General features: G+C 36.8%; 1 long non-coding RNA gene across 1 annotated transcript in view; it reads right to left on the bottom strand.

Moving 5' to 3' along the window:
* LINC01036 (long intergenic non-protein coding RNA 1036) overlaps positions 1-12,048 on the bottom strand; it is a 267,403-nt gene that overhangs the window by 204,991 nt on the left and 50,364 nt on the right. The window lies entirely within an intron of this gene.

The raw sequence follows: 12,048 nt of genomic DNA, 5'->3' as shown, positions 1-12,048 counted from the left end.
TGGACCAGGTTCAGCTGGCATCCAGCCACAGAGGGAGCATTTAAACCAGCCCTATCCAGAGGGGAATTGCCAATCCCAGCCATCAGAACTTGAGTGCCCGCAAACTTCATGCCACCTAAAGCCAGAGTGCTCTTGGTCTCTAAGTAAACTTGAAAGGCAGTCTAGGCCATAAGGACTGAAACTCTTAGGCAAGTCCTAGGGGTGAACTAGGCCCAGAGGCAGTGGACTGGGAGGGTATATGACATACTGAGACACTAGCAGGGGCAGCCAAGGGAGTGCTGGCATCACCCCTCCTCTAGCTCCAGGCTGTAGTTTGCAACTCCAAAATAGACCCCTTCTTTCCACTTGAAGAGACGAGAGGGAAGAATGGGGAGGACTTTGTCTTGCATCTTGGATACCAGCTCAGCCAGAGCGGGAGATGGCACCAATCAGAGTCACGAGGTCCCCATTCCAGGCCTTAGCTCCCAGACAACATTTCTAGACCAGATCCCAGGCCAGAAGAGAACCCGCTGCCTTGAAGGAAAGGATTCAGTTCTAGCAACACTCATCACCTGCTAACTGAAGAGACTGTGGGCCCTGAATAACAAGAAACAATACCCAGCTACTATATCAAGTGTTGTGAGTGAGCATCTGAGAATTGCTGGCTTCAGGTGAGACATAGCATGTTACCTGCTATGATAGTTAAAGGGAAAAATTCCTTCTGCTTGAGAAAAGCAGAGGGAAAAATAAAGGGGAATTTGTCTTGCACCTTAGGTACCAACACAACAACAGGGAGTAAAGAACCAAGCATGCTCTTGAGGTCTCTGATTCCAGGACTTGACTCTTGAATGGCATTTGTAGACCTGCCCTGGGCTAGAGAAAAGCCCGCTGCCCTGAAGGGTAAGTCCCAGGCCAGGCAGCATTCACCCCAAGTTAACTTAAGAGACCTTGGGCCTAAAGGGAACATTGGTGGTAGTCTGGCAGTACTCCTTGTAGCCAAGGGTTGTTGGTGGCCACAGGGTGAGGCTCCTGTGCCTTTGGAAAGGGGAGGGAAAAGTGGGAAAGACTGCCTCTTGTGTGGTGAGTGACAGCTCAGCTGCACTACCATAAAATACCAGGTAGAATTCTAGGTTTTTCATTTAAGTCCCTGACTCCTGAACAGCACTTCTGGACCCACCCAGGACTTGGGGGACCTCACTGCTCTGAAGGGAAGGACACAGGCCTGGCTGGCTTTACCCCCTGCCTATTATACAGCCCCTGGACCTTGAACAAAAACATAGACAGTAGCCAGGGAGTGGTTACAGCAGGCCTTGGGCAAGACCCAGTGCTATCCTGGATTTATGTCTGGCCCAGTGCAATAATAGTGGTAGTGGCCACACAGGTGCTTGTGTCACTCCACTCTGAGCTTCAGGTGACTCAGAACAGAGAAAGAGACTTGTATGTTTGGAAGAAAGTAAGACAAGAGAACAAGAGTCTCTGCCTGGTAATCCAGAGAATTCCAGATCTTGTCTAAGACCATTAAGGCAGTACCTCTATGAATCTGTACTGGGCCTGGGGAACCCCCTAAAGCAGAAGCAAATTAGATCACAACACTCAAGACCTTTCAAATTCCTGAAAAATCTTCTCAAGAAGGACAGTCGCAAATAAGCCAAGACAGTAAAGACTAAAATAAATGACTAACAGTTCAATGCCCAGACACCAGAGAACATGTATTAGCATCAACAACATCCAGAAAAACATGACCACATCAAATGAACTAAATAAGGTACCAGTGACCAATCCTGGAAAAACAGAGATATGTGACCTTTCAGACATAATTCAAAATAGCTGTGTTGAGGAAACTCAAAGAAATTCAAGAGAATATAGAGAAGAAATCTGATATTCCATCAGATAAATTTAACAGAGATTGAAATAATTTAAAAGAATCAAGCAGAAATTCTGGAGCTGAAAAATGCAATTAACATACTGAAGAATGCATCAGAGTCCTTTAATAAAACAATAGATCAAGCAGAAGAAAGGATTAGTGAGCTTGAAGACAGGCTATTTGAAAATACACAGTCAGAGGAGACAAAAGAAAAAAGATTTAAAAAGATGAAGCAAACCTACAGGATCTAGAAAATAACTGCAAAAAGGGCAAATCTAAGAGTTGTTGGCCTTAAAGAGGAGGTAAAGAAAGAGATACGGGTAGAAATGTCATTCAAAGGGATAATAGAGAATTTTCCAAACCCAGAGAAAAATATCAATATTCAAGTACAAGAAAGTTATCAAACACAAAGCAGTTTAATCTAAAGAAGATTACCTCAAGGTATTTAATAATCAAACTCCCAAAGGCCAAAGATAAGAAAGGATCCTAAAAGCAGCAAGAGAAAATAAACAAATAACATACAATGAAGCTCCAATTCATCTGGCACCAGCCTTTTCAGTGGAAACCTTACAGGCCAGGAGAGAGTGGCATAACATATTTAAAGTGCTGAAGGAAAAAAATCTTTTTCCCTAGAATGGTATGTGCAGTGAAAGTATTCTTCAAACATGAAGGAGGAGAAGTTCCCAACAAACGAAAGCTGAGGAATGTCATCAACACTAGACCCATCCTACAAGAAATGCTAAAGACAGCACTTTAGTCAGAAAGAAAAGGACATTAATGAGCAATAAATAATCACCAGAGGTACAAAACTTATTGATAAAAGTCAGTACACAGAAAAACACAAAATATTATAACATTGTAACTGTGGTGTGAAACGACTCTGTGGAAACACTAAACAATAAACCAATTAAAAAGAATAACTACAACAACTTTTCAAGTCATAGTAAAACATAATATTTATAGAAACAACAAAATGTTAAAAAGCAGGGGGACAAAGTTAAGGAGAGTTTTTGTTAGTTTAAGCAAATGGTGTTAAGTTGTTATCAGGTTAAAATAATAGGTTAAAAGATAGTATTACAATGCTCATGGTAACCTCAAGTCAAAAAACATACAACAGATAAACAAAAAAATAAGAAGCTAAACCAGCTGGCGCGGTGGCCTATGCCTGTAATCCCAGCAGTTTGGGAGGCTGAGGCAGGTGGATTACCTGAGGTCAGGAGTTCGAGACCAGCCTGACCAACATGGTGAAACCCTGTCTCTACTAAAAATACAAAAAATTATGTGGGTGTGGTGGCAGGTGCCTTTAATCCCAGCTACTTGGGAGGCTAAGGCAGGAGAATCTCTTGAGCCTGGGAGGTGAAGGTTGCAGTGAGCCGAGATCATGCCATTGCACTCCAGCCTGGGCAACAAGAGCGAAACTGTTTCAAAAAAAGAAAAAGAAAAAAAAGAAACTAAACCATATCACCAGAGAAAATCAGCTTTACTAAAGAAAGACAGAAAGGAAAGTAAGAAGAGAAGACCACAAAACAACCACAAAACAAATACTAAAATGGCAGGAGTAAGTTCTTACTTATCAATAATAACAATGAATGCAAACAGGCTAAATTCTTCAATCAAAAGAAATAGACTAGCTGAATGGATGAAAAAACAAGACCCATTGATCTGCTGCCTTCAAGAAACACACTTCACATATAAAGACACAAACACACTGAAAACAAAGGGATGGAAAAAGATATTCTATGCCAATGGAAACCAAAAAAGAGCAGGAGTATTTATACTTACAACAGCCAACATAGATTTCAAGACACAAACTGTAAGAAGAGGCAAAAAAAGTCATTATATAATGATAAAGGAGTCAATTTAACAAGAGGATATAGCAATTTTAAATATACTGAAGACCCAGATATATAAAGACGGTGTTATTAAAGCTAAAGAAACACTGAAGCACCCAGATATATAAAGGAAAATGTTATTAGAGCTAAAGAAAGAGATGAGCCCCAATACAATAGTTACTGGAGACTTCAACACCCTACTCTCAGCATTGGACAGATCTTGCAGACAGAAAATTAACAAAGAAACATCAGACTTAATCTGCACTATAAACCAAACAGATCTAATAGATATTTACAGAACATTTCATTCAAGAGCTGCAGAATATACATTTTTTTTCCTCAGCACATGGATCATTCTCAAGGATAGATCATATGTAGGTCACAAAAAATTATTATGACATTCAAAAAATGAAATAATATTAAGCATCTTCTCTTACCACAATGGAATTAAGCTAGAAATTAATAATAAGAGAAATTTTGGAAACTATACAAATACATGAAAATTAAACAATATGTTCCTGATGGAACAGTAAGCCAATGAAGAAATTAAGGAGGAAATTGAAAAATTCTTAGAAACAAATCATAACAGAAACACAACATATCCAAACCTTTGTAATAAAGCAAAAACAGTACTAAGAGGAAAGTTTATAGCTGTAAGTGCCTACATCAAAAAAGAGGAAAACCTTCAAATAAACAATTAAATGATGCACCTTAAAAAACTATAAAAGCAAGAGCAAACAAAACCCAAAATTAGTAGAAGAAAAGAAATAATAAAGATCAGAGCAGAAACAAATGAAATTGAAATGAAAAAAAACCACAAATATGAATGAACCAAAAAGCTTTTCTTGAAAAGTTAAACAAAATTGACAAAACTTTCTCCAGACTAACTAAGAAAAAAAGAGAGAAGATCCAAATAAATAAAATCAGAGATGAAAAAGGAGATATTGCAATTGATACTGCAGAAATTCAAAGCATCATTAGTGGCTACTATGAGCAATTATATGATAATAAATTGGAAAATCTAGAAGAAATGGAAAAGTTCCTAGATACATACAACCTACCAAGACTGAGCCAGGAAGAAATCCAAAACCTGAACAAACCAATAACAAGTAATGAGATCAAAGCTGTAATAAAAATTTTCCCAGTAAAGGAAAGCCTGAGTTCCTATGTTTTCACTGCTGAATGCTACCAACCATTTAAAGAACTAATACCAACCCCTCCAAAAAACAGAGGAGGAGGGAATACTTCCAAACTTACTCTACAAGAGCAGTATCACCCTGATACTAAAACCAAAGACATAACAAAAAAGAAAAAAATAAGAAAACTGAAGGCCAATATATCTGGTAAATATTGATGTAAAAATCCTCAACAAAATACTAGCAAACTGAATTTGATAATACATTAGAATGGCCATTCATCATGACCAAATGGGATTTATTCTTGGGATACAAAGATAGTTCGACATATGTAAATCAATCAATGTGATACATCACAGCAACAGAATGAAGAATTAAAAACTGATCATTTCAATTTATGCCAAAATAGCATTTGATAAAATTCGACATAACTTCATGATAAAAATCCTCAGAAAACTGCATATATAAGGAACATACCTCAACCTAATAAAAGCCATATAAGACAAACTCAAAGTTAATATTATACTTAATGGGAAAAAACTGAAAGCCTTTTCTCTAAGATATGGAACATTACAAGGATAGCCACTGTCACCACTGTTATTCAACATAGTACTGAAAGTACTAGCTAGAACAATCCGACAAGAGAAAGATATAAAGGGCTTCCAGATTGGAAGGAAGAAGTCAAAACATTCTTATTTGGAGATGATATGATCTTATACTTGGAAAAACCTAACACTCCACAAGAAAACTACTAAAGCTAATAAACAAATGAGGTAAAGTTGCAGGATACAAAATCAACATACAAAAATCAGTAGCATTTCCATATGTCAACCATAAACAATCTGAAAAAGAAATAAAAAAGTAATCCCACTTAAAATGGCCACAAATAAAATTGAATACCTAGGAATTAACCAAAGAAGTGAAAGATCTCTATAACAAAACTATAAAACACTGATAAAAGAAATTGAAGAGGACAATAAAAAATGGAAAAATATTTTATGTTTAGGGATTTGAAGAACCAATATTCTTAAAATATCCATACTACCCAAAGCAATCTGCAAACTCAGTGTAATCCCTATCAAAATAATGACAGTCTTCACAGAAACAGAAACGACTATCCTAAAATTTATATGGAACCACAAAAACCCATCATAGCCAAAGCTATCCTAAGCAATAAGAACAAAATGGAAGGAATTACATTACCTGACTTTAAAAACTACAGAGCTATAGTAACCAAACAGCATGGTACTGCCATGCAAACAGACACATAGACCAATGGAGCAGAATAAAGAACCCAGAAACGAATCCACATACCTATAGTGAGTTCATTTTCAACAAAGGTGCCAAGATCATACACTGTGGAAAAGAGAGTCTCTTCAATCAAATGGTGCTTGGAAAACTGGATATCTATATGCAGAAAAATGAAATGAATGAAACTAGATCCCTATGTCTTCTCATATACAAAAATCAAGTCAAAATGAATTAAAGACTTAAATTTAAGACCTCAAACTATGAAACTACCTCAAGGAAACATTGAGGAAAATCTTCAGGACATTTGTCTGGGCAAATATTTCTTGAGATGCTTTGATCTCATTACCCACAAACACAGGCAACCTAAGCAAAAGTGAACAAATGGGATCAAGTCAAGTGAAAGGGTTTCTGCATAGCAAAGGTTACAGTCAACAAAGTGAAGAGACAACTCATGGAATGCAAGAAAATATTTGCAAACTACCCATCTGACAAGGGATTAATAACCAGAATATACAAGGATCTCAAACAACTCTATAGGAAAATATCTAATAATCCAATCAAATTGGGCAAAAGATTTGAATAGACATTTCTCAAAAGAAGACATAAAAATGGCAAACAGGCATATAAAAAGGTGCCCAATATCACTGATCATCAGAGAAATGCAAATCAAAACTACAATGAGATATCATCTTACCACAGGTAAAATGGCTTTTGTCCAAAACAGGCAATAACAAAGGCTGGAGAGGATGTGGAGAAAAAAGGAACCCTTGTACACTGTTGCTTGGAATGTAAATTAGTACTGTCACTATGAAGAACAGTTTGTAGGTTCCTCACAAAACTAAAAATTGAGCTACTATATGATCCCACAGTCTCACTGCTGGGTATATACCCAAAAGAAAGGGAACCCGTATATCAAAGAGATATCTGCACTCCTATGTTTGTTGCAGTACTGTTTATTATAGCTAAGATTTGGAAGCAACGTAAGTGTCCATCAACAGACGAATGGATGAAAAAAATGTGGTACATATACACAATGAAGTATATTCAGCCATAAAAAAGAATGAGATCCAGTCATTTGCAAAAACATGGATGGAACTGGTGATCATTAGGTTAAGTGAATTAAGCCAGGCACAGAAAGGCAAACACTGTATGTTCTCACTTATTTGTGGGATCTAAAAATCAAAACAATTGAACTCATGGACATAGAGAGTAGAAAAATGGTTACCAGAAGCTGGGAAGGGTGGTGAGGGTCTAATGGGGAGGTGGCAATGGTTAATGGGTACAAAAAAAAATAGTTAGAAAGAATGAATAAGACCTAGTGTTTTCTAGTACAACATGGTGACTATAGTCAATAATAATTTAACTGTACATTTTATATCGCATAGAGTAATCACAACAAAAAATGGAAAAATATTTTTCCATGTTTGGAATATTGGTATATTGGATTATGTTGGAATATTGGTATATTTGGAATATTAGTATAATTGGATTGTTTGCAACTCAATGGACAAATGCTTCATAATGTGTTTCTTTTATATTGCATGCCCGTATCAAAATATCTCATGTACCCCATAAATATATACACCATATACCCACAAAAATTAAAAATAAAAAAACCTAAGAAGTGATTATAGCAAGGTTGCAGGATATAAGGTTAATATAGAAAAATCAATAATTTACCTAAATTTCTAGCAATGAAGAAGTAAAATTTGAAATGAAAAACACAATACCATCTACATTGACACCCCCCAAAATGAAATACTTAGCTATGTATCTAACAAAATATGTACAAGATCTATATAAGGAAAATTACAAATACTCTGATGAAGGAAATCCAAGAACTAAATAAATGTAGAGACTGTCTATGTTCACAGATAGGAAGAGTCAGCATTGTCAATATGTCAATTCATCCCAACTTGATCTATAGATTCAATGTAATTCCCAATCAAAATACCAGCAAGTTAAGTTGTGGATATCAACAAACCAATTCTAAAGTTTCTACAGAGAAGCAAAAGACCCAGGATAGCCAAAACAATGGTGAAAGAGAATGAAAAAAAATGTCGGAGGCCTGACACTACCCTACTTTAAGCCATATCGGTGTTACGCTGGCAAAAGGTAGATAAACAGCTTGGTGTAACAGAATAGAGAGCCCAGAAATAGACTTGTACACAGATATAATTAACTGGTCTTTGACAAAAACACAAAGGCAAAACAATGGAGCAAAGATCATTTTAAACAAATGGTGCTAGAATTATGGGACATTCACATGTTAAAAGAGAAAGAATAAAAAGAAAAGAAAAAAGGGAGGGAGGAAGGGACGGAGGGAAAGAAAAGGAAAAAAAGGAAATGAAGGAAGGAAAGATGGAAGGAAGGAGGGAAGGAGGGAACGAGGGAAGGAGGGAGGGAAGGAGGGAGGGAAGGAGGGAGGGAAGGAGGGAGGGAAGGAGGGAGGGAAGGAGGGAGGGAAGGAGGGAGGGAGGGAAGGAGGGAGGGAGAGAGGGAGGGAGAGAGGGAAGGAAGAAAGGAAAGAAGGGAGGGAGGGAGGAGGGAGAAAAGAAAAAATAAATCTAGTCACAGAAGTTACATTCTTCACAAAAATTAACTCCAAATTGATCATAGACCTAAATGCAGCACACAAAACTTTAAATAAGAACTCCTAATAGACAACGTAAGAGAAATCCTAGATGACCTTGAGTATGAGGGTGACTTTTTAGATACAACATAAAAGGCATGATTCATGAAAGAAATAATTAATAAGCTTGATTTCAGTAAAATTAGAAACTTCTGGGTGGGGGCAGTGGCTCACGCCTGTAATCCCAGCACTTTGGGAGGCCGAGGTGGGTGGATCATGAGGTCAGGAGATCGAGACCATCCTGGCTAACACAGGGAAACCCCATCTCTACTAAAAATACAAAAAAATAGCTGGATGTGGTGGTGCACGCCTGTAGTCCCAGCTACTCGGGAGGCTGAGGCAGGAGAATCACTTGAACCAGGAATGTGGAGATTGCAGTGAGCTAAGATCGCGCCACTGCATTCCAGCATGGGAAACAGAGCGAGAGTCCGTCTCAAAAAAAAAAATTAGAAGCTTCAGCTATGTGAAAGACAATAGAATGATAAGACCAACTGTAGACTGGGAAAAAATATTTGCAAAAGACACTTGTGATAAAGGACTGTTATTTGAAACATACAACACACTCTTAAAACTTCACAGTAAAAAAAAAAAAAAAAAAACAAGAAAAGAAAACAAAAAAAACTGATTGAAAAGTGGCCAAAGGCCTTAACAGATACCACATCAAAGAAGATACACAGATGGCAAATGAGCATATAAAAGATGCTCCATATCATATGTTATCAGGAAAATTAAAATTAAAACAACAGTGAAATACCACTACACATCTATTAAAATGGACAAAATCCAGAATCTTGACAACACCAAATGCTGGCAATGATGTAGAATAGCAGAAACTCTCACTCATTGGTCATGAGAATGCAAAATGGTACAACCTCTTTCAATGACTGTTTCTCACAAAACTAAACCTCTTCTTACCAAAGAATCCAGTAATTGCACTCGGTATTTACCCAAAAGACTGGAAAACATAGGTCTTCACAAAAACCTGCACACAGATGTTTACAGCAGCTTTATGCATAAGTTCCCAAATTTGGAAGCAACCAAGATGTCCATCAGTAGATGAACAGAGATACTGTGATACATCCAGGCAATGAAATATTATTCAATGCTAAAAATAAATGAGCTGTCCAGCCATGATAAAACAAGGAGGAACTTAAATGTATATTACTAAGTGAAAGAAGCCAATCAGAAAAGACTACATACTGTATATTCCCAACTACATTAGATTCTTAAAAAGGCAAAACTGAGGAGACAGTGAAAAGAATCACTGCCTTCCAGGGTTTGGTGTGACAGCAGGGAGGGATAAATAGGAGGAGCGGAGGGCAGTGAAAATACTGCGTATGATACTATAATGGTGGATACATGTTATCATACGTTTGTCCCAACCCACAGAATGCATGAAATTGACAGTGAACTCTAATGTAAACTATGAATTTTGGGTGATAGTGATGTGTCAATGTAGGCTCCACTCCTGTGGGGGTTATTGATAATGAGGAAGGCTGTGCATGTGTGGGGTCAGGGGGAATATGGGAAATTTCTGTAACTTCCTTTCCACTTTTCTGTAAACCTAAAACTGCTCTTAAAAAATAATCTCCAATTTAAAAAATGCACAACTTTGTTTACTATTATTCACAGTTATGAAAATTGCAAGGTGTTTTAATAATACTTTTCCAAACACTAATCAATTATGAACAATTACCTTTTTAACTCAGACTCCTCTTGGCATAGCTCAGGTTTTATAACACAGACTTTACAAATGTCTTTCATTTTATACTCATAGATATCTTTCAACTGTTCTCCCCAACCAATTTCATATAAAATTGGAAATATTTGATCATTTAAATAGGTAAATATTGTATGTAAAAAAACCCTATTATCTCCATATCCCTATCTATTCAGGGATTTTTGTCATATTAAGTGCCCTATTATGATCAAACTTTAGCCACTCTATTTTTCCCTTCACCTGCAATTGAATGATATACTCTTCGCCTGCAATTGAATTATATACTTTTGATCTCAAATTTGAGTCTGTTTGCTTTATGTTACCATTTACTTTTCATTTTTCCTGTTTTCCACCGCTTCTACTTTGTATTTCTGACTACAGTTGGTTCAAATCTCTACAGGGATTTCAGCTGAGTCATTTGGGGCTTATACTTCCACACCTTTCTCAGCAAGTTCAGTGCTGCTAGATCTCTTGAAAGCTTTTCTAAGCCTTGTTTTTAGTTCACTAACATTTCTCTCAATTGACTAGTTCCTATGTCAGTGACAGATGTGTGGAGCACATTAGCTCTAGGCCTATCTCTGTATGATAAAATACCTCTTTTTTTTGGACAGTGCAACACAATGTCTAGAAAGAAAAAATAAGTCTGAAACAAATGTTGATATGTGCTTTAATGTTAAAGCATCCTTAAGTTCTTCAAATAGTTCTCTATAATATCACAAAATTCCCTCTATTTAGGGTGAAACAGACTATAATAGGGGGTCATACAGTCACTTTCCACAAAAGGCTTTGTTTTTGAAAAACAGGTATCTTTCAGTTTAGTCTCTTCTTCATGGGTATTCAGGAAATTTGAGTCATAGCACCACACATCTGTGATCCTGTGATGAATGTACATGAGTCCACAATAATCCATTGCAATGTATCAAGTCATCTAACATAAATTATTGGAGCAACTTATTTAATAACTCTCTAAGTCTGAGATTCATCATCCCCAAAATGGTGATAGTAACAGATTTGAATTCAGGATGTTGTTGTAGAAATTATTTGAGATAATTTATGTAAAGCAATTACCACACTGCCTATATTTTTGTAAGTTTTGTAAATTTAGCACTTAATTTTTATGATTAAATTCATGTACAAAAATATTTATCTAAATTAGTTTAACTTTTAAAATGTACACTTTTATATTTCAAAGAGTAGTGACAATAGAGACTAATCTAGGAAAAATATTTGTAAGTGATAGGGTTGAGGCAACAATGTAAAGAATCAAAAGATTTATCATTATAATAAAATTTTTTTATTATACTTTAAGTTCTGGGATACATGTGCAGCACATGCAGGTTTGTTACATAGGTATACACGTGCCATGGTGGTTTGCTGCACCCATCAACCCGTCATCTACATTAGGTATTTCTCCTAATGCTATCCCTCCCCTAGCCCCCAACCCCCCACAGGCCCTGGTGTGTGATGTTCCCCTCCCTGTGCCCCTGTGTTAAACTTCCACTTATGAGTGAGAACATGTGGTGTTTGGTTTTCTGTTCTTGTGTTAGTTTGCTGAGAATGCTGGTTTCCAGCTTCATCCATGTCCCTGCAAAGGACATGAACTCATCATTTTTTATGGCTGCATAGTATTCCAT

The sequence above is a fragment of the Homo sapiens genome, chromosome 1 (assembly GCF_000001405.40).
Source record: "Homo sapiens chromosome 1, GRCh38.p14 Primary Assembly".
Taxonomy (NCBI): Eukaryota; Metazoa; Chordata; class Mammalia; order Primates; family Hominidae; genus Homo; species Homo sapiens.
The sequence above is the reverse complement of the archived record's forward strand: the minus strand, read 5'-3'. Positions and strand labels throughout refer to the sequence as shown.